Source organism: Homo sapiens, chromosome 6 (assembly GCF_000001405.40).
Source record: "Homo sapiens chromosome 6, GRCh38.p14 Primary Assembly".
Lineage (NCBI taxonomy): Eukaryota > Metazoa > Chordata > Mammalia > Primates > Hominidae > Homo > Homo sapiens.
In genome coordinates, this window is record NC_000006.12 from 44,614,939 (window position 1) to 44,641,305 (window position 26,367).

At 46.6% G+C, this 26,367-nt stretch overlaps 7 annotated features.

Moving 5' to 3' along the window:
* Positions 5,869-6,453: an enhancer, noted in NCBI's record as "OCT4-NANOG hESC enhancer chr6:44588544-44589128 (GRCh37/hg19 assembly coordinates)". NCBI's record gives its function as "activates a minimal SCP1, AML or CMV promoter by ChIP-STARR-seq in primed H9 embryonic stem cells {active_cell/tissue: H9 hESC(primed)}" and the evidence as "EXISTENCE:reporter gene assay evidence [ECO:0000049][PMID:30033119]".
* Positions 9,444-9,951: an enhancer, noted in NCBI's record as "H3K27ac-H3K4me1 hESC enhancer chr6:44592119-44592626 (GRCh37/hg19 assembly coordinates)". NCBI's record gives its function as "activates a minimal SCP1, AML or CMV promoter by ChIP-STARR-seq in naive H9 embryonic stem cells {active_cell/tissue: H9 hESC(naive)}" and the evidence as "EXISTENCE:reporter gene assay evidence [ECO:0000049][PMID:30033119]".
* Positions 9,952-10,460: an enhancer, noted in NCBI's record as "H3K27ac-H3K4me1 hESC enhancer chr6:44592627-44593135 (GRCh37/hg19 assembly coordinates)". NCBI's record gives its function as "activates a minimal SCP1, AML or CMV promoter by ChIP-STARR-seq in naive H9 embryonic stem cells {active_cell/tissue: H9 hESC(naive)}" and the evidence as "EXISTENCE:reporter gene assay evidence [ECO:0000049][PMID:30033119]".
* Positions 11,986-12,493: an enhancer, noted in NCBI's record as "H3K27ac-H3K4me1 hESC enhancer chr6:44594661-44595168 (GRCh37/hg19 assembly coordinates)". NCBI's record gives its function as "activates a minimal SCP1, AML or CMV promoter by ChIP-STARR-seq in naive H9 embryonic stem cells {active_cell/tissue: H9 hESC(naive)}" and the evidence as "EXISTENCE:reporter gene assay evidence [ECO:0000049][PMID:30033119]".
* Positions 12,494-13,001: an enhancer, noted in NCBI's record as "H3K27ac-H3K4me1 hESC enhancer chr6:44595169-44595676 (GRCh37/hg19 assembly coordinates)". NCBI's record gives its function as "activates a minimal SCP1, AML or CMV promoter by ChIP-STARR-seq in naive and primed H9 embryonic stem cells {active_cell/tissue: H9 hESC(naive and primed)}" and the evidence as "EXISTENCE:reporter gene assay evidence [ECO:0000049][PMID:30033119]".
* Positions 14,855-15,475: an enhancer, noted in NCBI's record as "H3K27ac-H3K4me1 hESC enhancer chr6:44597530-44598150 (GRCh37/hg19 assembly coordinates)". NCBI's record gives its function as "activates a minimal SCP1, AML or CMV promoter by ChIP-STARR-seq in naive H9 embryonic stem cells {active_cell/tissue: H9 hESC(naive)}" and the evidence as "EXISTENCE:reporter gene assay evidence [ECO:0000049][PMID:30033119]".
* Positions 16,098-16,717: an enhancer, noted in NCBI's record as "H3K4me1 hESC enhancer chr6:44598773-44599392 (GRCh37/hg19 assembly coordinates)". NCBI's record gives its function as "activates a minimal SCP1, AML or CMV promoter by ChIP-STARR-seq in naive H9 embryonic stem cells {active_cell/tissue: H9 hESC(naive)}" and the evidence as "EXISTENCE:reporter gene assay evidence [ECO:0000049][PMID:30033119]".

Sequence of the window (26,367 nt, forward strand, 5' to 3'; positions counted from 1 at the left end):
AAGAATCTCCTGAACCCAAGAGGTGGAGGTTGCAGTCAGCCGAGATCACACCATTGCACTCCAGCCTGAGCAACAAGAGCAAAACTCCATCTCAAAAAAAAAAAAAAAAAAAAAGAAGCAAGTCACAGGTCCCACACTGAAGGCGTGGAGGTCACCCAAGAACATGAATACCAGGAGGCAGCAGGCACGTGGACCACCTTATGAGTCTGTTCTCCATAGCCCCCAATCCTCTCCAAGCCAGGAAGTGTGTTCAAACACTGAACACCATTTCTTCCTGATGAAATCAAAGCCTGATCCTTCTCATCATCAGGCCCTCCAGGGACATGGTCAATAGTTACCATGGCCCATTCACTTGTTCATTTGCTGACCAGTTTAGCACTTACTGTGTGCCAGGCTGTGAGTAAGGCACCAATCCTAAATCCTTTTTTCCTACCTTCTCTTTCCTAAACTGAATGTCAGACAGAGTTGAGGAGCATATAGATCTAAGAACATGGGGACACAGTGAGAAATGTATCTTTTGGAAACAGAAACTATAATTACATGTATGTGATGGTTCATCTCGAGAAAATGTTCTCAGGAACAGCCCACCTTAAGATATGAATCAGGATTTGAGACCACTTTAGAACATTAGAAGAAGTCACAATTTAAAATGTGATTATTTTAAGATAAACTGTGGTTTACCTCATATTAATTAAATAGACTCAAGTGAAGTTATAGATTTTGATTATTTGTGGTAAGGATTATTTGTGGTAATTGATATTATCATTTCCAGTTATTTGCCACTTGCCTGTACGAGAACTATAAATCTATATTTGTTGCCAGGTGGCACACGGTGTCCCCTTTGGGAGAAGTATAATACCTGGCTTCGTTGTTGGGCCTGGCCATGTGACTTGCTTTAGCCAATGGAATGTGAGTAGGAAGTGGTGTATACTATGTCTGAATGGAAGACTTAAAAGGCATTGCCTGGTTTGGTTATTGTGTTTTTCCCTCTACCACAAGAATGGCATGTTCCAGATGGGGGCTTCTCCTTCAACCTGAGCCCTGGAATAAAGACATGTGGAGCAGGGCTACACCTGCAGGTACATGAAATGTGAGTGAGAAGTAAATCTCCTTGCTTTAAGCCAGTGAGATCTTGGGCCATTTATTCCCACACAAAACTTAGTAAAATGTGACAGAACATAATGCTGAGTCAATTGTGCTCTCCGTATACATAAGAGAGTGCTAGTTGATGGTGTCTCTGTTATCTCTGAGTTTCTGCAGATGCACTGGAGCAGAGAGGAAGAAAGGCAGAAGTTTGAATTGATGAGAAATTAATTTTTGGGGTTAGGTTGTATGGGATTTTTTAACAATTGAAAATGAGACTGTTATGCTTTCTAATGATTTCTTTATTTAAGGGATGGGGTCTCACTGTCACCTAATCTGAAGTGCAGTGGCATGATCATAGTTCACTGCAGTCTCGAGCTCTTGGGCTCAAGCAATCCATCCGCCTCAGCCTCCAAGTAGATGGGATGACCGGCATGCACCACCATACCTGGCTACTTTATTTTATTTTTTTGGAGACAAGGTCTCTCTCTATTGCTCAGGCTGGTCTCATACTCCTGGCCTCAAGCAATCCTCCCACTTCAGCCACCCGACTAGATGGGAAAGAGGTGTGCACCATTTTGCCTGGCTAATATATTTTATTTTACATTTTTAGAGACCAGGTCTCGCTATGTTGCCCAGGCTCCCGGCCTCAAATGATCCTCCCCACTCAGCCTCCTGGGTAGACGGGACTATAGGCTCAAACCACCACACCTAAGAGATTGGTAAACTTTCTAAAGGGGACAAGAAGAGCCGTCATCTAGGGTTGGAGTACTTAGATCTGAGAGACTGTGACTAAAGGCAATAGCAATGAGAGAAATGGAGCTCTTTCCTGATGGTGCCAAAGTTGGCTCATTTCATTTGCTACTTTATTTGCTATGTATTTCCCTCCTTATGGAGAACTGTTGGTGCAGCTGCAGTGCCCTACAAACAGGTGCCTTGTTCTAGAGAAAGGCCCCTCCACCATGTGAGGATGCAGTGAGAAGGTGCTGTCTATGAGAAAATGGGCCCTCACCAGACACTGGATCAGCCAGCGCCTTGATCTTGGACTTCTCAGACTCCAGAACGATGAGAAATTTCTGTTGTTTATGAGTTAAAACAATAAGAATGGAAAAGACTCTAGAAGCTGTAGAATAAACCCCTTTATTTTACCAGTGAGGAAATTAGGATTCTCAGAGTAGAGTTACTTTTCTTAACTCTGCTCATTCAGTGTCTTAGGAATTTGATTTCCAGAGCAGACCTATCCCCTAGGAAGAAAGGGCCAAGCCAGCTACCCTGCCATACAGGGCACCTTGGCATTCACTTTTGTGCCTCCCATCCCGACCTGATTCCCAGGGCCCCTGCGCCTTTGGTGCACTGACAGAATCAAAGTGTGAGCCTGACTGCACCGTGAACTCGTGGGCTTCCCTAGGAAGCAGTGTCCTCGTTTCTCCTCACTGAAGCAGGAATGGGTCACACGCCTTCATCCATCTCTAAGCTCTCCATCCACTTGGCTCTGTTATGTCTGATCTTCCAGCCTCTCTGTTTCATTTCCCTTGACTGTCTGGTGTGTTCCTACAGGATGCTGAAGTGGGAGAGACAAGCACAGGTGATGTCCAGGCCAGCCTAGGGGGACCCTCTGGAGGATGTCTCCCCCAACCCCAGGTCTCATGTTACAGAGACATTGCTTCTGTGGGTCAAGGAGGGCCTGGTGGATGTTCATATCACACACACGTACACACGCGGTCACCCTCGGAAATGTCCCTCCGGCCAGTGCTGGACTCACAGCCCTCCCCTTCCACAGTAGCACCTCCATATAGTCATTTTGTCTGCAGGTTCCTCAAGGACAAGTCACCTCACCAGGATGACTTGTCTGAGAATTAGAAAATCAGAGGTCACTGAACCCTTAGGAGAGGATGTCCTCAGTTACCGGATTTCACTGTTCACTGCTAAAGATTGAATCAATTTGTGGGTAAATTATGACAGCTGTGAGTGAAGACAATGTATGGAAGTTGTTACCTCTGGTGCCTTCTATTTCTGGATCTGTATTGACCCAGTCTGTGGCTCCATCCTGCAGGTATGGGCTTGTTACTTTGCACTTGTACATGATTTAGTCCCTGGGCTAAGTCCCAAGTGTGAGGCCAGGGCAGGTTGTGGTACAGGCCCCACAGGCAGCTCTCATGAATGCAGCCCAGTTCCTGGCACACAGCAAGGGCTCAGTAACTCCAGCTCAGGGGCTTAAGCTTCTTAATGTGAGTGAAAACAGAACGGAAAACGCACCTGAAGCACAACAGGCCCTGTCTTTCACCCACAGTGGGGTAAGGACTTGCTCCTTGAGGACTCAGAGGCATTAACGATAATGAAGGGTTCCAACCCAGCTGAGTTCTCTGGTTTTTGGTTCCTCTGTTTAGAAATGCCATGTTTGTGGCTTCAAATAAATCAAGAGATTTGAACCCAAAAGATGGGCAATTTGGCAGGGTTTCAAACCCACTTAAAACTACAGCTCCAAATTTAGATGTGATCTGGGAACTTGAGTTTCAAGTTCCCCTTGACTTGGGCAAAGCCTGAATTTCAATCTACTGCACATTTTAATTTATCCGTTCTCATCTTTTTAACTTCCCCAAATTTCGCTCTCCCTTTTTGGAACTCATCACTCTGGTTGTGTTTCTCACGTGGCTGTTGCTGTGACTTCTCTTGCGTTGTTTTCTGTTATCATCACACAGACCTTATACTCTGCCTTTCAGTCTTATCTCCTGGGCTGGGCTGGAGACACCTTCTGGGCAGGGGCTGTCCTCAGGCCTCTTTCCTTTCCCCTCCGTGAGACTTGCCCAGGGTCCAATACTCATGGGTCACAGTTAAGGACTGAGGGTTGCTCCGTTGTAAAGCTAGGAACTGGAGGAGGTTATGTTCCAACCAGATTTCCAGAGCCTTGGCTTCTGATTTGGTTAAGTATTCCTTGGAAATAAACAAATAAGCAATGCAAACATCTGAAGAGCAGTGGTTTGAGTTAAGGAGTGTACAAAATTTAAGAAAAGTCTGATGAAGACAAAGCCATGTGCTGGGCAAAATCGAATCAATCCATAATAGCTTTCTGTCACTCCTGCCATGCCAATACTGCCTGAATTGTTTGTCTACAGCTTGTGGGAGGCTAAAAGAGTCAAAGGTTAGAATTTGGCACATGAGATAGAACTAGAGTTCAGATCACATGCACCTTTTCACACCTTCACACTTTTGGAGAAACAGTGTATTTGTTTGGTTGGGCTGCCATAGCAAGGTACCACAAACTGGGTCGCTTCAACAACAGAAGTTTATTCTCTCACAGTTCTGGAGGCCAGATGGCCAAGATCAAGTTGTGGGCAGGGTTGGCTCCTTCTGAGGGCTGTGAGGGAAGCCTGTTCCTCGCTTCTGGTGGCTTGCTACGACCTTTGGTGTCCCTTCGCTTGCGGACCTCTGCCTTCGTCTTCACATGGTCATCTCCCTGTGTGTGTCTGTGTGTCTGTCTGTGTCTAAATTTCCTCTTTTATAAGGACATTGATCATATTGGATTACGGGATCATCATACTCTGTAGTATGGCCTCATCTTAACTGATCACATGTGCGATGACCCTATTTCCAAGTAAGATCATATTCTGGTGGTACTAGGGGTTAGGATTTCAACATTAATTTAGTGGTGGTGGGTGAGCATATTTAACACAGTGCAACAGCCTTCTTATTTGAATTTATTGTTCTCCAAATCAGGGTTTATCCATAGAATTCAGTCTGTGCCATACCTATGGATTGGATAATAAACATCTAGAAGAAGCTAAAGGCAGGAGTCCCTTTTCTCCTTTTCTACCCAGTGATCCATCCATCCATCCATCCGTTATCACACACGTGCACACACACACACACACTTTATATAGGTGAGACTCTAGGGGTTCCTTACTGGAAGCCCCTGTCATCCAGGGACACTACTTGATGTCTTACTTGCATGGATTTGATGAGCTGCCTCAGAGGAAGAGCTATAAGGACTCTGAAGTAAGGCCTGGGTTCAGAATCCAGCCCTGCACTTACTGGCTCTGTGACATCAGTGACACCTTCCTCTTTGAGGCTTGGTTCTTCATTTGCAATATAGCAAATACTAGAGCAGACCCTATAGGTCCCTGAAAAATGGTGGCATTTATTGACGTTATTATTGTTGAGTGAGCCAAGGAGAGAGGGACAGAGTGGAGGCATGGCCTATCTTCCAGCTTCCAGAAGCTCACCACCAGGCACTCCTGGGGGCGCAAGTCCAAAGCTGTCACAGAGACTGCCTCATCTGGACTGTCTCCCCAGTTCCAGAGCTGTGGTTCTTAATCTTTTGGGGAACTGGATCCCTCTGGAAATCTAATACAATCTGTGGACTCCTCCCCAAATAGCACCTGTGCATGGAGTGTCCTCAGAAGCTTGCGTGTGATTGTGGCAGGTTTGCGTCTCCACTTGAGACCACCCACGGAGGCTAAAGTTTCCACTTCAGAGACAACAACCTGAGAAATTCATTTGCTCATCCAGTAAACATTTCTTGTGTGACTGTCACATGCCGGGTGCTTTGTGGGGGACCAGGATGTCACGGAAAAGTCAGATAGGAGACCTTTCCCCAAACTGCTCACAGGCAGCAAAAACCATAATGAAAAGTAGAAATGATTCAATATTATAGCAGACATATGGCTATATTTTTTTTGTCCCAGTTCAGAGGAGGACATTATTTCTACCATGGAGGGTGTGAAATAATCAGGCAGGTTCAGTGGAAGGAAGGATATTTGAGTTGGAAAATAACAGGTGAGTTAAATTTTGTTCTTAAAGGACATATTGGTATTCCCAAGGTACCCATCCCGACAGTTGACACAAGTGCACGAATATCTGTCTGCTGGTGTTTGCCTTCACCTGAATGTAACTTAGCTGCTAGATTCCTAAAACGCTGCACCTCTGATAAGAAGCCAGTTCGTGTTCTTTTCTTCAAATATGGGCTTCCAATTGTATCACTTCTATAACACAAAGCACAGTTCATTCATTTACATGAAACAAGAAGACATTGACATTCTGCCTGTCTTCAGTCCTTACCTTTGTTATGAAGGAATCTTTGGTGTCTCTGACCCTCTAGGGATCCCAGTCCTCCACCCAGCTGTGGAGGATGGAATGGGAGGTGCACATCTGGGAGTAGTTAACCACTATCTTCTACTTTCTTTCTTCCAGGGGAGGTGCTTCTTCACCCCACTCCTCTCTATCCACATCACTAATAGCCAAGAGCTCAGCCTTCCCGGGGTCAGACAACGTTGTGATCTGCTGGATCCTGTTCTGCTTCAGCTGTGTTGAATGCATATCCATTTGGTTCTGGTTCATAATTCTTCACTATCAATTTTTCTGAAAGACTTCAGTTCCTTTTGTGGTTCAGTGAAAAGTTTGGTATTTGGGGTTGGGTACAGATTAGGTTTAGCCTAGGGTTGAGATCTGCTGTGGTTTGGGTTTTGCAGGGTGGTCATTTCGTAAATGCTATCTCAACCCTTCCCAGGTGGAAGGGGCAGGGAAATGTGGCCTGGGAATCCACATCATAAAGAATTTTCAATAAATGATCTGAGAGGAACACAGTGTGTTCTCTCCCTGGCAGCAGCATCAAGCAGTCTCTGGAAGACACACTGAGCATCATTCTACGCTGTATGGTTGTAGGTTCACTGTCAAAATGAGCTTGATCCAGCAAGAATTTAGGAAAGTGACAAGTGGTTCAGGCTTAGCCACAGACTTGCAACGTGACCCTGGGTAAATCAGTTCCCCTCTCTGGGACTCAGTTTCCTTATGTGTAAACAAACAAACAAAGGAAATTGGACGAGAAACTAGGTGATGGTGAAGGTGACTTTCAGAGCTTAAATGTTATGATGCTGTGAACACAACAACTTTATTTTAAATTAACTGTGCCTCTAAGGAAAGGATTCAAAGGCTCTTTCATTCATTGAACTGTATCTCTCCCACGTTCCACTCCCTGGTCATTGCTCAAGAACAAACATGAGAGCATCCAGCCCTCCTGGAGAACGTACATACTTCAATGGAGGCCTTGGCTGCCTGCCTGGGGCTCCCTCAGCAACCAGGCTGTGTAGTAGCATGGTGGGCCCATGGGGTCACAGAACCTTCTCTCCCCTTCCTTCCCTCCTTTTTTCCTTAGAGGGAAGGAAGGGGACAAAAGAGGACAGTATTAGACCATATCCACACTTCTAAGGCTTTAGGCTCCAGAAGGGAATGTACCTCTTTAAGGTGCCTGCAGGCAGGGCCTATCCAGCCAGCAGGGTAAGGCAGAGGCCATCCCAGCCCCTCAGGATCCCCGTGGGGTGTGTCTGCTGAGGTTCTAAGGAACTTAATTAACATGGACTTTCCTCACTTATTCACCGCCTACCCCTATAAGGTGTGCTAGCTAAGTAGTTTTTCCACACACCTGAATTTTACCCTTTAAATAATAAAATAGTTTTAATCATTTGAACAATTTTATTTATTTATTTTTGAGACAAAGTCTCACTCTGTCACCCAGGCTGGAGTGCAGTGTCATGATCTCAACTCACTGCAACCTCTGCCTCCTGGGTTCAAGTGATTGTCATGCCTCAGCCTCCCGAGTAGCTGAGATTTACAGGCATGTGCCACCACGTCAAGCTAATTTTTGTATTTTTAGTATAGTCAGGGTTTCACCATGCTGTCCAGGCCGGTCTTGAACTCCTGACCTCAAGTGATTCGCCTGCTTTGGCCTCCCACAGTGCTGGGATTACACGCATGAGCCACCGCACCTGGCCCATTTTCACCATTTTAGATGGGAATAGATACTTTTTGTTTCTTGCTTCTCAGCCCTCTCAGCTGGGTATCATGAACAGAGTCAAATCTTCATCCTAACGAGTATCAATTGTCCTGCCTCAGGTTTTCATGGGTAAACTGAGGAAAAGCATATCTCCCTCACAAGGTCCGTGTGATTATGTAAACAAAGGGCTAGCCTGGAAAGAAGGACATGCTTAGTTAATAGCGATTATTATTTTAATTGTCAGTTGATTACATGGTGATATATTCAGAGAAGATTGATTTATGAAGAGCAATTTGCCTTTCCAGGAAATGGCCCCTGGACTGTTAGGCATTTCGATTTCTTGGGCATGAATTAAATAGTTTCTCTTCCTCTCCCTTGTCACCAGTTGCATGGCTGGCTTGCACCTGACTTAGTGACCCTCCCTTCCTTTCTCCCTCCCTTCCTCCTTTTTCTTCTTTCTCTCTTCCTCTTTCCTTATTTCTCTTTTTAAAGTTTATTGGGAACTTTTCTCTATAAAATGCTCATTACAGAAAATTTGAAAAAAAGAAAACAAAAAAACAGAAAGAAAACAAAATCACCTATGACACCTTGAGAAAACTACGTTTTGATATATTTCCATTTTATCTCATTTTTCAGTTTTGAGTGTTGTTTGTTTATTGCACATGTTGAAGTTACACCATAGATATAATTTTGCACCCTGCTTCTTTTTAGTTATAATGATAACATAAGCACTTCCCCATGCTAATTTTCAATTCATCACCAACAACATCTATATTGGCTGCAAATATGGCTGGTCATGGTCCCGTGGTTTAACTTACGCATTTCTTTAAGATTGATATGAAAAGATTGGCATGAATTTCTTTCTAGTTTGTTGTTTCTAAGAGGGTGTGGCAGGGAGACCACTCACCAAGTGTGTTAGAACTGTACGTTCTCAGGAAGAGTTAATCAGTCTCAGAATCTTGTGGGAAGGCTGGAGAGGTTTTCCTCAGGAGCCTTTGGATATGAATTTTTTTGACGCCTCTTATACTTTACTCTCTCAAAGGATCCTTTTACTTGTGTTTTCGGTTCTTGATCGAGGTCTGAATAGTTGAGATTATCAATTCATGGACTTCTTGATAAGTGAGATATGACTGCACTAGTAAAAATGATAAAATCTACTTTTCTACCAGCAAGGTAGAATGGTGTCATTGTTCAGAGCTGCCTGCGTTCAAATCCCAGTTCTCCCTCTTTCTAGTTGGGAGCCATCAGGCAAGTTTCAGTCTCTGTGCCTCAGTCCCCTTGCAAAATGGAATCATCATAGTGTCCACCTCACAAGACCGCTGTGCGTATGAAATGAATGAATGTCTGGAAAACACTTAGGACTGTGTCTGGCCCTTGGTAAGCTCTAGTGAGTATTTGCTATTTTTATGTTCTAATTATGTTATGAGGGCATTTTAAAGTTTCTTTGAAACATTTTTGACCTACTCTTTCAGAATTTTTGTCTTTTACAGAGGCTCAGGAGCAGAAGGAGACGGCTAGGGCTGGAAGGGACAGCAAGGGAGTGGCACAGCTGAGAGCAAGGCTGACACCAGGTGCCCAGGCACCGCCTCCACCCCCAAGGCCAGGGAGAGCCGGCAGGGCCCCCCAGGCACAGCCTAGCTGGGCCAGGAGTGGGACAGGAAATGAGAGAGAAAGTCCAGAGTGGGGGTGGTGTGGAGCTGCAAATGAGAACCTGAAGGAGGAGGGGGCTGGCGGGGGGTGGGGTCACCTCTCTCCCCAGATCCCAGCCTCAGGGGTAGGGCCATGGAGTCCGCAAATAGAACCTTCAGTTCCTGAGGGGAAAAAGAAAGTCTAACTTTAGAATTTACAGTTTTCCTTAACAAGAGGTACAGCGCAGTTGCGTTCTGGTAACGGAAGCAAAATTAAAAATATGAGCAGGAAATAAATTAATTTTAAAATATCTAAAAACATGTATTCTGTGGTTCCATCCACCTGGCCAGCATTGACTGGCTTGTTTTTCCCTGGGAGGGACTGATTAATAGGACAGAAATGAGGAGGTGTGAATTTATTTTGGACCTGGGTGGGGAGCCAAGAGAGGTTGGCATCAGCCCACTTAGGCTAAATCTGCATTTTAAAGTCCACAAGGGTGACCACCTACTGGATGCCCTGGAGGGTGGGGAGTTGGGAAGGGAGGTATTGCAGGCTGAGCTCCTTCTCAGCAAGCTTCTAAAAGCAGTTTATTTTCCCCCCTTTTGAAAGTATAGTCATGCAGGCCCAGAGGCAGCCCTATGACCAGGGGACTCTCTGGGCCTTTGTCGGGAGAAGCCAACGACACAGAGCAGGCCTGGGACAGTGAATGCAATGCGGGTTTTTGAGCCCAAAGTGTTCCCTGGGAAGAGGTAAGAGGACAGAGCCCAGCACTCAGAGAAATAAAATCCCTCTGGGCTGTTTTGTGCACCAAGCATGGAGAATCATTTAGCAGGATGAAAGGTGGTTGAGAAGCAATAAATAATCTTCAAATGGGGGAGAGGCCACTGTCTGGGAGGTAGAGAGAAGGCTGCAACGCAGAGCATTTTATCTGAGTTTAAAACGCAAGAGTGAGGCCGATTTCACTGTAGTTCAAGACATGGATAATTAAAAACAAAGACATCTTTAAGACAGATCTAAGGAGGCCTCCCATCCCATGCCCTCACCCTATAAATCCCCCATCTCCGTGCCCTTCCCCCATCTCCTTTTCCCAGAAAAGGCTGGGAACACCCTGAGAAGTAAAATCATCCTAACGAGAGAAGACATGTTCTTGAAGAAATTTTGACTTATGGCTTGCAGCTTTATAAGCATTTCAGTAGAAAGATGTCCCACACTCAGGCACTAAGTCAAGGACGCATAGTTTCAATGCTAGCTTGGTCTTCTGTGTGATTATTTTTACAACATTTGCAATTAAATGCAGATTTTCTGCTGCCAGATTCTGACTGGACAAGGGGCTTCAGTGCTGCTGGGTCCCCCGGCACACAAGCTCAGACACACCAACCTGCACGAGGACACACACTTGGGTGGGAGGAACAGCCCGCCGCTGCACGCACACCAGTGTAAACCACCCAGGACACACACGTGCCTGTGCAAGCTGCCTTTCCCCAAACTTTCTTCATTAGAAACAGATCTGCTCTGCTTCTCTGTTACTTTATTTTGATGATTGAAATTTTCCTCAACCAAAAGTGTAGGCATAATGACCTTTTTCTTAAGACTTCAGAATTGTAGAAGAAAATATGATTATATAAGTTCATATATTTTGGTTTTGAAAGGAACTGATTGCTCTGTGTGTGTGCGTGTGTTTGTGGGTGAGTGAGCGTGCTTGTATGTGTGCATGTGGGTGAGTGTGCATGTGTGTGCTGGTGTGTGCATGTGGGTGTGTGTGCTTGTGTGTGCATGTGTGTGCATGTGGGTGTGTGAGTCTGCTTTGTGTGCATGTGTGTGCATGTGGGTGTGTGAGTGTGCTTGTGTATGCATGTGTGTGCATGAGTGCTCAAGTATGTGCATGTGTATGAGCATGCTAGTATGTGCATGCATGTGCTGTGTGTGTGTCAGTGTGCTTGTGTGTTCATGTGTGTGCATGTGGGTGGGTGTGGGTGTGTGGAGGGTAGGGATTCTGGGAAGGAAATAACAAGGAGGCTCTGATGAGATGAGGAGAAACACAGTGGGTCTGATAGCAGGCACGAGGAAACAGTAGTTGCCACCTTAGAAGAGAAACAATGACAGGAGATGAAGTGTGGTTTGGGGTACTCCAACAATCCCCTGTGAACTCAGGAATTTAGTGGGTTTCCAGAAAGTTCTATATTGCCTTTTCTCCTGGGATGGCCAATGCTGCCCAGCATTGGTCAGGAGCAACTTGCAGGAAGAGAAAAGGTTGATTTTTAGGCCTGCAAATACCCACCTCTGCGTAATTTCGCCTATTGTGAGATTTACGTTGTTATTTGCTTCTTCGGGTTGGTTTAAGAGGCGGTAAGGAAGGCAAAGCTTGCGTGAGGTCAGAGTCCACTCCACCTCACCTCAGCAGGCAAGCAGGGCAGGTAGAGGAACAAAGCAGGCCTTGAGGGAGAGAAAGGCCTGAACTAGAATCCTGCTGACCTCTCTCAGCCTGAGTTTTCTCATCTTTAAATCGGGGCCAATGACCTCCTTGATGTGCAGTCCTTGTGAGGCTGCAAGGAGGCAGTGTGAGCACAGAGGCTGGTACGGGCGGGTGCTCAGGGGAGGAGAGGGCCCGTGCTCTGGCCTCCCACCAAGGCCTCCTGTGTGCTGTTGGAAATGGACTTGGCACAAGCAAGGCTTTGTTTCCTTTTAGAAAGCCACCCCAGTGCCCCACTCCCAGGCTGCCTCTCCGATCCTCCCCTCAGCACGTGGAGCTGGGGCTTGTCACTCAGCCCAGGAGGGACCTAGAGCAGGTCTTCAGTACTGGAAAGAGGAAGAACTCCCCTTGCGGGGAGGCTCCACCCAAGCAGGGCATGAAGCAGGAGGTGGTGGGCCGGGCACAGGAGACAAACCCCGCCTGCTTCCCAGTTTTGCTCCGAGAGTTAGCCTTGGCTAAGTGGAGCTCACCAGCCTCCCACACAGTGAACCCAGAAGTCTTCAGCCCTCAACATCCCCGTGTGTGTGTGTGCACGTGTGTGCGTGCGCATGCGTGCGTGTCCATATGCATGTGTGCACGTGTGTGCCCGTGTGTGCGCATGTGCATGTGTGTATGTGTGCATGTGTGTGCCCGTGTGTGTGGCGTGTGTGTGTGTGTGTGTGTGGTGTACTTCCTGCTTCCTCTAGAGCTCTTTCCTTGTTTCACTCTGACACTGTCTTTGACCGCCCTGAGCCGCTCCCCCTCCCCCTCCCCAGTGGTTCTGATGCTGCCCCTTAGCAGGTAGCTTTTTCAGATTCCTTCACTCTTTTCCTGGGTCTGCCTCTTTGCCTCTTGCCTGATTTCCCCTGGAGCCCCGGGGGATCTACGCTCCTGCAGGGCTGTGCCAGCCCTGTGAGAAGGAAGCCAGAAGTAAGAATCACCACCTAGTGCTAAGGGCAAAACATTGCGCCCAGTAGGTGCTCAGGCCAGGTCTGTGAGGGCGGATTTCAAGGATGAAAGCGGAACCGTGGACATTGAAATGTACATTGTGATGTATTTTCAACTCTTCTTTCTTCAAAGAAAAATAATTGGATGTAAAACGCTCCTCTCGCCCCTCACCCAGACTTCTCCTTTGACGCTGATTTTCCCAGCTCAGAATCAAGTATAGCATCGCTGAAGATCACCAAACTGCTACTTAGACATTTTAAAGATGCAATTTGAGTTCCAGGCAGGGAAAAGGGGTGGATAAAAGAGATTATATGATAATGACATGGCTGTGGGAAGCCTGTCAAATAAAGTGCATTTTCTCTGGTGGGCAGGCTATTTCTGGAGCTGTACGTGGGTCCCTACACTGAGGGGTGTGTTTATCCTAATGGGAAGCAGGACTGAGCTAAGCCACAGCTCCCTGTACAGTTTTTAAAGTCTTAAGATACCACAAGAGACATTTGCATTGTCCAGAGGACACATTTAGTCTGCCCTGGCCCGTTTAATGTGTGCTGACTTGGCTCTGACAGGGGCTGGAGGAAGGCAAAGGGAATTCTTACAGCAGAAGTGGGGAAAGGTGCATCCATCCAAATGTGCCCATTAGGATGCTTTTAGATACAAGAAAGAGAAAAGTCAATACTAACTGACTAAAATCGTAAGGAGTGCATTAGATCATCTCAAAGTAGCCCAGAGTTAGGGCTTCAGGTAGGGTTTGATCAGGGTGCCAATTCTGTTTTCCTGTGACCTTGTCTGCTCTGCCCCCTTCTAGTTCTTTGTCCTTAGGCTGACTTCCCTCATGGCTGCAAGATAGCTGCTGGCAGCAACTCAGGCAGTTGCTTCTTTGGTCACGTCCAGGGAGAAAGAGAGGAAAACATTTTCCTTTTGGTCTGAATGGGTCAACTGAAGCCACGAACTGGACAATTGGAGCCACTAGGCTAACATCTTCTGCCCTTGGCTTGCCCAGAGTTCTGAACCCCACCCAAGCAAGGAGGTTTGAGTGACTCTAACTGCTGGGATTGGATTCCCACGAGGCACAGGTGTCACATAGGAGGGTCAGGCCCAGGCCCAGACTGGACTCTGCTAGGAAAGTGGGGGAAGGTGGGTTGGAAATGAAAGCAGTCAAGCAACTAACAGCTTTTCCAGCCAGAAACAAGGGAGCCCTGTTGTAGCAGAGCCTCTTTTGTGGGCTGAGACACTGTCAGCCTGGCCTTTCTGCCTCTCAGAGCTGTTGGGGATCATGGAAGATGATGGAACGGTAGCAAGGCAAAATAGACATATATATGTATGTATAAAATATATGCCTATAAATATCTCGTGCCTCAGTTTTCTCCTCTGTAAAATGGACATAGCAATCCTGCCTTATCCTTCACAAGGAGAAATTTCATGTACTATTTTCAGTGCTCCTAGAGACCAGCTAGGCTAGCCAGATTGGGCTTGTTTTCCCCCAGAGAGGAATGATGACAACTCCAGCCCCTTGGTACCCTCTCCCTCTCCTCCCATCTCACCCTGTTCTAGGTTGGTCTTGGCAACATTTCCTCTGGAAAATAAGAAAAACAAATTTTCCCGGGGTTATCAATCACTGCCCCGCTTGACACATTGGGGCTGGGCTTCCTAGATCTGAAAGGGAGCACATATCGAAGCCCACCTGAGCTTGTGTGCCAGGTCTCTCCAGGAGCCCTGGGGCAGCTGGTCAGGGACAGTCAGAGGGGTGAAGCCTGCCTGGCTGGAGCCTGAGACAGGAAGGGAGAGGATGGGGTTGGAGCCTGTCCTCCAGGCCAGGGGCAGACCAGAGGGGTGGGTGAGCAGGGGTATTCTAGAAGGAACAGGGTCTGCTGGGGTGCTGGGGAGACACGGTGGGTTTCTGTACTCTGCTGTCACAGACAATGCAAGTTTCACCTGGAGCTGAAACCTCGGCCTTGAGGCTGCCGATTTCAGTCCGGAGGGAGCCCTTGGGAAGCGGAACTGATCATTTCCCAAGGCCTGGCCTCACTTTTCACGAAGATAAGGCAGCACTTCAGCTTCCTCTGAGGCCGGCAGCCCAGGAGCTCCTCTGTCCCCCTCCCTCCTTCTACAGGTCTTGTCTGCAGCCTGTCTCTTCTAGTATGGAAAAAGACAGAGAAACATGCAAGCCCAGAAACACACATGCAGCACATGCATCTCTTTCTCTCTCCCTCCCTCCCTCCCTCTCTCTCTCTCTCCCTCCCTCCCTCCCTCCCTCTCTCTCTCTCTCTCTCTTTCTCTCCCCTCTTCCAGGCCTTCTGTGCCTGGGCCCTCTGGCCACATGTGGAAAGGCTGTATTCTGTCTTAATGTAATGGAGGCAAGGCACAAAAAGCCATTTTCCTCTGCGGGCCCTCTTGCTCACTAAGATGGAGGAACTGGGAAATGCCCTGAGGAAGGGCCATGGGGTTCCTCCCCACTCAGGCCCGTTCAGAGCACATTCCATGCCCAGTGCCCTGCGGGGAGAAGCTGCTCCTGGTCCCCTACAGTGCCTTAAACAAAATAGTGACTACATACATAGCATGTAAGAGCTGGAAGGGATCATAGGGGGTTGGATGGTGAGGCCAGGACAAACCTGAAGTTTGACAGAGGGACAGGGGCCCAGAGAAGACTCTGCTGCAGCTACACAGGGCCCAGCCTCCCAGGAGACATGTCTAGCAGCCTAGGGAAGGGCTGTGTTCCCCAGAGCCCTCAGGAGCCCGCTGAGAAAAGCCTGAAGTTGCCAGAGCTCAGAAGCTCACCCCTGCTGACCACAAGATGGCAACAGAGCTTTGTATGAGCCCCAAGCTCGGGCGGGGGCCGGGGCGGGTCCAGCTTGCTGGGAGGAACGGACCCACATCCTTACCTCCATGGTCTGAGTATTCTTCTGATGCCTTCAGATCAGGATGAGAGTTAATTTAATGTGGGTCTGGGTGTGTCTCTTTTCCTGTTTTATTGCCTTGAGCTCAGTTCCAACTGTACCTGATGAGCGGTTCTGATCTTTCCTCTGTCCCTTTTACCTATTCTATAAGCTCCATAGGAGGGTGGGGGTGGTAGGAAGATGCCATTCAACTCACAGCACTCTTGAGAAGCTAGGTGGAGGTAAGCCTAAGATATTAAAAACCTGTTAGACAGTATAGATGAATGTGCATAATTTGGTGCTATGTGTGGTGCTGAATTTATATTTTTCATTTTAGAAGAAGAGCTAAAAGTGGCATTTCAACCTGGAAACAATATTGCCTGGAGCACAAAACCCTCTCTCCGGCAGCCTTGCAGGCTCCCTTCACCCCACCCTGTCTGGTGCTCTTTCCCGTCCAGCCATGCCTGGCCCCTGGGTGGGGCTGGCAGCTCTGGGAGAAGGTTGGGAAGGGGAGTGGAGAGTTGGGGGTTCATACCATCCACTGGCCAGGATCCCACTCAAATTGCTCACTCCATGCCAGCGGACTCCTGTGACGTGGCCAGTCGGGTATCCATTCAGGAACTAATTCCCATCAAGCTGTTCAAATAATGGTCATGGCTCCAACTCAGCCTTGGAAGGCTGTGGTGCCAGGGAAGGGAAGAACAAAGCAGAGAAGCCACCGTGCCTCTCAAACCTGCCCTGGTTAAGGATTGATGGAGAGAATGCGGGAGGAGAATGAATGCATTGGCTGCGCGAATGAATGGTGTGAATTAATGAGTGGTATAAATGAAGAAAAGGACGCCGTAGTGAGGAGAGGCAAGCTCTTCATCATATGCCTCTGGCTGGCCTGTGTGTGTTGCCAGCATTTTCGTGCCTCACAGATGGCCATGTGGCTTTGCAGAAAGTGTTCATAGACACCCAAGAAGTCAGCCATTGGATGATAGGACGCTGTGTGAGGAAGGCTTAACATGTTCTCTGCTTTGCTGCTGTCTCTGCCCTATGGAGGTCCTGTTGAAAAGTTGACTCACTCATGTAAAAATGAACATTTCGACCATGTCTGCCTGTCAGAGGCATTGGTTAGAGACCCTCTGCATGCTGCCCAAAAGACAACTTTGGAGGCAGCTCCGTGCATGGTCAAGGGCAAACATTATACATATTTTTATTAAGTATAGAAACTGTGTGTGTGTATATATATATATATGTCTCACATGCATAAATGTACAGTTGATCCTCATTATTTGATAATTCTGTACTTGCAAATTTGGCTACTCACAAAAATGTATTTGTAACCCCCAAATCAGCACATGTGGTGCTTTTGCAGTCATTCTCGGACATGGGCAGAGTAGCGAAACATTTGAGTCACCTAACCGGTGGGTGCATTTCCAGCTGGGGACAAACAAGGTGAAGCTCTGCTTTCTGTTCCAGCTCTCAAACTGTAAATAAGAGTTCTTTCTGTGGTCTATTTAGTGCCACATTTTTCACATTTTTGTGCTTTTCGTTGGTGACTTCACTGTTTAAAATGGCCCCTAAACATAGCACTGATGAGCTGTCTGTGTTCCTGCGCCAGAGAAGGCTGTGATGTGTCTTACAGAAAGTAAGACGTCTTTAAACAGAAACACACTGAAACAAGGTTATGTATTGATCCGTTGACAAAACGTTGTGACCAGAGACTCACAGGGGCCTACCTTGTATTTCCCCTGGAAGCAATGGTTCAGTATTTGCTATTCCAGTGCTTGTGCTGATTTTATAGAATATTGCTACCACAAATAACAAGAACATAAATATATATATTCAGTATCCGAATGAAACAAATATAGGCATAAATAATAAAACATCTCCTATCTACCACTCTCCAGCTCTGCTCCTCTTTCGTAGGGAAACATTGTTAACAGTTTAGGGTGCAGCCTCTGACATCTCTTCTATTAATTTACATACATAAAAATTAATATATATTACATAACATGCATAATTTTTATGGGAGTATTCTATGAAAGGAATTATATATATATAAACTATATATATATATAGTTCACCTTTTATCACTTAGATTAGGGGTTGGCAAACTTTTTCTTTTTCTTTCTGTATTTTTTTGGCTTATAAACAACAGAAAGGTATCTCTCCCAGCTCTGGAGGCTGGAAGGCTGAGGTCAGGTACCAGCACGGTCAGGTTCTGGTGAAGGTCTTCTTACTGGTTGCAGATGGCCAACTTCTTGTCGTATCTTCTCACCAAGACTGGAGAGCAGAGAGACTGGCAAACTCTTTCTGTGAAGGGCTGGAAAGTGAATATTGCTGGCTTTGTGAACCCCATGGTCTCTGTCACATGCGTTGAACTCTGCTGTTGCAGTGCAAAAGCAGCCGTAGACTATATGGGAATGAATGGACATGGCTGTGTTCCGATAAAACTTTATCTGTGGGCATTGAAATGTAGATTTCATGTAATTTTCATGGGTCATGAAATATTGTTCTTCTTTTCATTTTATTTCAACCATTTGAAAATGGGGAAGCCATTCTTAGCTTATAGGCTATTTAAAAACAGGTGGCAGGCTGGATTCAGCTTATGGGGCTTAGTTTGATAACCCCTGATTTACATGGTATCTTGGAAATCTCTCCCCGTTATGACATGTAGATCTACCTCATTGTTTTAATGGCTGCCCAGTATTCCATTGCATGCATTTAGCTCAATTTATATAACCTTTTCCTTATCAATGGACAAGTAGGTTATTCCAAACATTTCACTTAACAGAGTATCTTTGTGCGCATACCTTTATGGATATGTGTATTTCTATGGAGTAGAATTCTAGAATTGGAATTGCTGGGTGAAAGGGTTAAAAGGTACGTACACTTTGAAAGTTGATACATTCTGTGAAGACAGAATGAATACATTCTGGAGTAGGCCAGAAATTTTTTTTTTCTAGATTTATTATCCATCCATAGAGCTGGGCTTCTTGTGAGAAGTAAGTGGTCCATACTCTCTTGCTCTGTCCCAGAACGGAGTACTGCACCTAAGACCTGTCTAAATAAACTCATGTCACAGGGGTGCCGTGGCTCATGCCTGTAATCCCAGCACTTTGGGAGGCTGAGGCGGGTGGATCACTTGAGGTCAGGAGTTCGAGACAAGCCTGGCCAAGATGGTGAAACTCTGTCTCTACTAAAAAAATACCAAAAAACTTAGCTGGGTGTGGTGGTGCTCTCCTGTAGTCCCAGCTATTTGGGAGGCTGAGGCAGGAGAATCCCTTGAACCTAGGAGATGGAGGTTGCAGTGAGTCAAGGTCACGCCACTGCACTCCAGTGTGGGTGACAGAACGAGACTCCATTCTCAAAAATAAAATAAACTCATGTTTATTTTATTAATATTGCTCCATGGCTGCCCTTATTATAGGGTTGGTCAGGAGAGAGAGGCTAATAGCATCCAATCCTGCAGAGATATTGAGTAAGAGTGTCCTGGAAATGGGCCTTACTTTGTTGAAGTAGGAACCAGAGGAGCTCTTGGGGAGCATAGCCTTAGGAAAGAGCTCCAGTGTCCTGTTTTCAGGGTTGGGCAGCTTAGAGGAGCCTGTTTATGGGGTCACACCAAACAGACTGGCCTCCCGTGGGCTGGATGTTTGCCTCAGGGAAGCACAAGGAGCAAAGTCAAAGACTAATAATTCATGCCCAGCTGCTGGACCAAGGGTAAGCTGAGGCCACAAACGGGAAGACAGCCGGGTGAGTGAGGCAGAGGCAGATGGGGACTAAAGTGGGGGGTTGTGATGAGCAATTCAGGGATTCAGGACGGAGGCCGTCAACCCAGGCGAGCAGCATAAGCCATGCCCAGCAGGGCTGCAGCTGAACTCAAGCCAGGTGGCAGGGAATCATGAGTGGGCCAACAGGAAATATCGATAGTGTGGACAGGGCTTCCTTATGAGAAATTCACCTGTGTTAGGACAAAAATATGGCAAGAACTACGTAGGACAGCAGGGCGAGAGAAGATTTCTTTTAACTTCTGTACAGGCTGAAGGAAGCAAACCAGCAGAGAAGGGGAACATGAACGGTCAGGAGCAAGGAGAAGGGGTATTTGGCACCTAGTAGATAATCAACAACACTGGATCATTCATTCAACAAACATTAAACTACCAGGAGCCAAAAAGCACTCCAGGCTCTGGGAAGGCTGGAATGAATATGCCGTGCTCCCACTCTCTGGTTCCCAGTGGAGTGGAAGCAAACAGGCTCTGACACCGAGAGGTTTAATGCATTGCTGCAAAGGCTCTGACCATAACAGGGCAGGGGTGGAGGAACCAAAAAAGGGCAGGGCCAGTTGCAGGGAGGGGAGTGGGGCAACTGCCTGGAGAAAGATAGGTTTTTTGATGTGTTTGTTTGCTTTATATAGACTTTGTTTTTTAGAGCAGTTCTAAATTCACATAGTTACTGAGCTGAAGGTACAAAGTTCCCACATGCCCCCTAGCCCCTCACACACACAGCCTCCCCCACTGTCAACAGCCCCCACTGGAGTGCTACATTTGTTACAATGGATGAACCTACATGGATACATCACTATCACCCAAAGTCCAGGATTTATATTAAGATTCACTCCTGGCGTTGTACATTTAATGGGCTTTGACAAATGTACAATGACATATATCCATCATTATAGTATCCTACGGAGTATTTTCACTTCCCTAAAAATCCTCAGTGTTCTGCCAATTCCCCCCACCCCCCATCCCCTTAACCCCTGGCAACTACTGATCTTTTTACTGTCTCCACAGTTTTGCCTTTTCCAGAATGCCATCTAGTTGAAATCATACAGTTTATAGCTTTTTCAGATTGGCGTCGTTCTCTTAGTAACATGCATTCAAGTTTCCTCCATGCCTTTCATGACTAGATAGCTCATTTCTTGTTGATGTTGAATTCTATTGTCTGGATGCACCATAGTTTATTTATCCATTCACCGCTTGGAACATCTTGTGGCTTCCAAGTTTGGGCAATTATGAATTAAGTTGCTGTCAACATCAGTATGCTGGTTTTTATGTATGTGTGGAAATAAGTTTTCAACTCACTGGCATGGAGAAACCTTTTGTAGAGAAGATAAAACCTGAGCTGTCCTTAAAACAGGAACTCTGTGTTTATTGACTGGTGGGGATGAGAGGACAGAGAAGACTCTCCAGGCAGAGAAACAACGTGAGTGAAGGCGCAGACTGGAGGTTGCTTAGCGGAGCCCAAGGTAGTTGGTGAGGGGTGGGGGGATGGCAGAGCTCTGTGGCTAGTGGTACAGGCTGGGCACAGACCATGGAAGAGCTTATTCAGCCAGCCCAAGAAATCTGGACTTTATACTCACCTGATGAGGAGCCGTTTGAGGATTCAGCATGACCAACTGTCTCTGCATCCCCAGAGTCTTTCTTTTCACTTGCTGAGGAATGGGTCTAATACAGCGAGATTGAAGTGCTACCATGCATTGCTTTCTCCTCTACATTATCCAGTCTTCTATGCAGCAAATAATTGTTGGTCACCTCCAAGGTGGCAGGCACTGATGTTCGTGGGACACACGGCAATGGGTTCCACCTGCCACCCTTGAACATCTCCAGTTCTAGCCTGGTTTTCCCATTACACAACCCCCACCAACTTCTACTGCCTGCGAGTAGGCTAAAACAAAACTTCACTCCTTAAAAGAAGTCCAACACGAAAAGAATTTTCACAGCCTGTCCTTATTGCTGCCAAGAATATATATTACCAATTTCCAGTGGAAGCTCAAATGTCCATTTGTAATCACCCGGCCTCTGAGCACTAAGTTCAAGGGGGTCACAAGTCGAGGCTTCACCTACAAGGCTTGACTGCCTGGCTGCCCGGAGAGAGGTGTGGAGGGGGAGTGCGCCAGAGGCAGAGATGGAGCTTGAGACCCAAGGGGTCTAGATGCATGCTCCCTTGGGTTACAGCCCAGGGTTAAGAAGAAAACATCTAGAGAAATCCTGGTTGGCATGTTTCTAGCCCAGATGGAAGAGAAATAGGACAAGCTCCTAAAGGGTTCCAAAACCAACACATGAGAAGTACTTGCTGCCAGCAAATTCGAGGTATGTTGGCATGCACAGCAGAAGAGAAATGTATTCACCCTGTTGGAAAGGGGAAGACAAGAAGACGGACGGCTGTTGAGAGAAGGCAGAGTGCTCCCTGCCAACTGCGAACCGCCAGCTCTGTGAAGGAAGGCTGCTTCCAAACGACCGAGTGGGGCTGGGGTGAGCCAGGAGGAAGGGGCGCAGACAGCCAGGCGACAGGCATCTTGAGATGGGGGCTCGTGGCCCATCAGTCTGCCTGCCATCCTCTGTGCCTGCAGCCACTCCGCCTGCCTCTCTGCACCACTTAGGGGAGTCAATCTCCTGTCCCAGATTCCTTGCCCCAGACCCTCCTTCACGTTTGTCCCCTTCCCCCTCAGCTTCGCCTCCATCCTGTGTTTATTCTAACTCTACCCATCTTTGGGGGACATTTGTCACCTGCTGGGACCCATCTCTGCATACCCTCCCTGCATTTCAGATATCCCCCACATTATGAACCCCACATTATGAAGGGAGAAGCTAGAAAACTCACATCTCTAGACCCCGTTGCCATGTATTGCATTGTGACATGTCCACAACAGAATTCGGTTTGGGTGGCAAGGGGCTAGCAGAGATACTTGGTTCCTGAGGACATAGAAGGGATCCAGCTTCTGGTTTGCAGGGCAGGGGTTCCTAGCTCCCAAGTGGTGGTGGTGGGGGATGGGGAGATCTTTAAGAAACTCCTTTGTTTGGTTGGGCACTGCTTATGGCTAATAACTTCAGCATCTGGTTCTCCTGGAAATTTTGTGAGCTCTCCAAGAGTCTTGATTAAACTTATCTTTTCCCTTAAAGAACCCAATGGATTCTGTTGTTTGCAACTAAGAATTTTACTATTACACCATTTGTCTTAGTTCATCCTGCTGTAACAGGTACCATAGACTGGGGTGGTTTAAACAACAAAAATTTATTTCTCACAGTTTGGAGGTTGGGAAGTCCATACCCAGGTGCTGACAGAGTCAGAGTCTGGTGAGAGTTATTGTCCCAGTTTACAGACAGCTGACTTTCCCTTCCATCTTCATATGGTGAAGAAAGGTATCATCTTTTTTGTATCTCTGCTTATAAGGGCACCAATCTCGTTCAGGAGGGCTCCACCCTCATGATCTAATTACCTCCCAAAGGCTACCACATTGGAAATTAGGCATCAACATGTAAATTTTAAGAGTTCACAAACATCCAACCAATAGCACCATCCTTCAAGAGTAGCTGAAGATGCTATTTATGATAGCAAAGACATGGAATCCACCCAGGTTCTCTCCAATGGTGGACTAGATAAAGAAAATGTGGTACGTATACATCATAGAATACTACACAGCCATAAAAAAGAACAAAATCTTGTCCTTTGCAGCAACATGGATGCAGCTGGAGGCCATTATCCTAAGCAAACTAACACAGGAACAGAAAACCAAATACCACCCATTCTCATTTATAAGGGGGAGCTGAACACTGGCTACACATGGACATAAAGATGGGAATAACAGACACTGGGGACTACTGTGGGGAGAAAGGGACAGGGGGAAGGGCTGAAAAACTACCTACTGGTTACTATGCTTACCACCTGGGTGACGGATTCATTCGTTCGTACTCCAAACCTCAGCATCACACAATACACCTTTGTAACAAACCTGCATGTGTACCTCCTGATTCTAAAGTAAAAGCTGAAAAAAAAAAAAGAGTAGCTGGAGAAAGTGAATTTTCTGCTACTCTCTCTGAGGCCTTCAGATTCTGCAGCTGTGCCTGTCTTAAAATCTGCCCCACCAGCCAATTAAAAATTAAATTGCCTGTTGTCTTCAAATTTCTGCAGTGCTCGGGACTGCCTCTTCGCTGGGTTAGAAACTCTGGAGGCAGAGATCCTATCTTTTCTTCTTTTTGTCTTTTTCACACCCTAGCCTCATAGGTTTGCAGCATCCTACAGTTGGAACGGGACCGAGAGTATGCTGACCAAGCCACCCATTTTATAGGCAAGGTGGGACTCGGAGCAGTGACCAGTGAGGTGACTGGTCTAAGCAGGAGGAAGGGGAGCATGAGCTGGAGAACAGGAACTTGGCCTTTTCTGACTGTTGCCTCTTGGGAGAGTGCTGAAGCCATGTAGGGCTTTTGTATGGAAGATGCATCGTGTTATGACTTGAATTTAAACAGGGCCTTCTGAGGAGTTCAAAATGCTTCATCAACTTGAGAGTTCCAGGTTGTGTAATTTACACTCTTGGGAAGTACAAGGACAGGAGAAAGGCTCGTCTATTTGCAGTGTCAAAGTTAGGAATCTCCAGCTCCTTGCACTTCTGTGTCTGTTTCAGGAAGATAATGGGATATGAGTTCTGGTAATAGAAACACCTCCCGGGATGCACGTGGGGCCGCTGGAGGCCTCCCGAGTAACACTGAGTTCAGGCGTTCCTTCTGGAGGAGATGATGGAAATTTTCCATTTCAGGTATCTATTGCTGCTCAACAAATTACCCCAAGACTCAGTGGCTTAAAACGACACCATTCATTTGTCATCTCTCACAGTTTCTGTGTGCCAGGAATTTTGGAGCAGCTCAGCTGGTCGGCACCTCTTTATAGCTTACAGCTAGACATGCCTGTGGCCAGGGTCATCCTGAAGGCTGTGTTTGGCAGCCGGGAGGGGAAACTTGAATGGCTGGGGCCCCTCGGGTATCTCGCTCTATCTCTCAGTGGTCTCTCCAGCAGGGTGGCTTCAGAGTCGCCTGAGTCCTCCACATGGCTCGGGGCTCCAAAGATGTGTGTTCCGAGAGAGGGCACCAGGCCTAGCCTTAGACGACACGCAAGGCCACTTCTGCCACACTGTGTATTTCAATTAGTTAGAAGTGAGTCCTTGAGGAAGCTGTATTCAAAGAGAGGGGGAATTAGGCATCCTGTCTTTATGAGAAGAGTTTAAAGAATTTGTAGACATGTGTTTTTTTTGTTGTTTTTTTTTTTTGTTTGTTTTTTCCAAGATGGAGTCTCGCTGTGTCGCCCAGGCTGGGGTGCAGTGGCATGATCTCGGTTCACTGCAACCTCTGCCTCCCAGGTTCAAGCAATTCTCCCTGCCTCAGCCTCCCGAGTAGCTGGGATTACAGATGCCCGCCACCATGCCCGGCTAATTTTTGTATTTTTTAGTAGAGACAGGGTTTCACCATGTTGGCCAGGCTGGTCTTGAACTCTGAACCTCAAGTGATTCACCCACCTTGGTCTCCCAAAGTGCTGGGATTACAGGGGTGAGCCACCGCGCCCAGCCTGTGGACATGTTTTTAAACCACCACAGACCCCAAGTTCCAGAGGAGTGAAGTGATTTTCCCCAGGTTACATGGCTAATGTGTTAGCAGGACCAGGACTGGAACAGGAGACTCAAGGCTCATTGTCTTCTTCATGGCCAGCATTAAAATATTGAGGGAGTCAGATAAGGGGGTCTGATTTGGGGGATTTTCTCTAGAGTGTTACCTCATTTTTAAGCTGTCCTTAATCCTTGGGGGAACAAGATGGCTGAGGATAGCTAAACAAAAAGAAGCAGACAGACAAACGTAACCTCAATTAATTACTGCTGATAATAATGGGCAGAGTGTCCCTTTATGTTTGTATAACATTTGGTCCAGAAACACACTGAACAACTTGTCAAAGATCATATAGAAAATCAGGTCAGAAACAGAATTAGAACCAGACCCCAGGTGTCCTTATTCCTGACTCATCTTTGCTCTGCTGTGCTGGCACACCTCCCTGGATAACTTGTCTGCTTCTTTATGAGAATAGTCTCATTTCATCTTTCAAATAGCAGTGGTGTTACCCATTATTACTTCTGGGCAGTGGCAGGACAATATAAGCAGGCAACTTGGCTCTGGCTGTTGCTGGGCATGGCAATGTTTTGCACGGTTAGGAGGAGCCATAGCAGTGATCGGGTGCAGCTCCCCCATTTCATAGATCTAGAAACCAAGGCAGGGCAGGCTGGCAGGATGTTGCATAGGTCCTTTGATGAGCCATGAGAAGGGTGGCCTTTGAATCAAGGTCTTTTTATGTAAAAATCTAGTTTGTTTCTTCCCTTCATGTCAGATTCCTGTGTTTTTCTGAAATGAAAAACAAACTGGTTTTGAAAAAATGGCTTGAATTTAATCACCCATTGCTCCCTGCACAGACCCTGGAAGGATTATTACTTTGGGTAACTTCCCAAATCAATCAATCAATATGCAATTATTGAGCACTCTCTATTTACCCAGCATGGTGCTAGGTATGGATGATATTGAATGTAAAAACTGAATTTATACCAAGTTTATATGATGGTTCCTGGCTTCAAGTACCTTTATGAACCAAACCACACAGAATATAACATTTAACCAAATCTTGATCACATGGATGACACAAAATAACCTAATTTCACAGAAATCACACCTTAACCAGTACTTTCTAGGAAAAACAAATGATTAATAGCAGTGTGCTTTTATAAAAAACACACATACATATGACGGCAGTGAACTTAAGCACTGCTGGAAAATCTGAAATGTGCGGCAGGCTTCTAATTAAAAAGATCATTTCCTGCAAAGCCA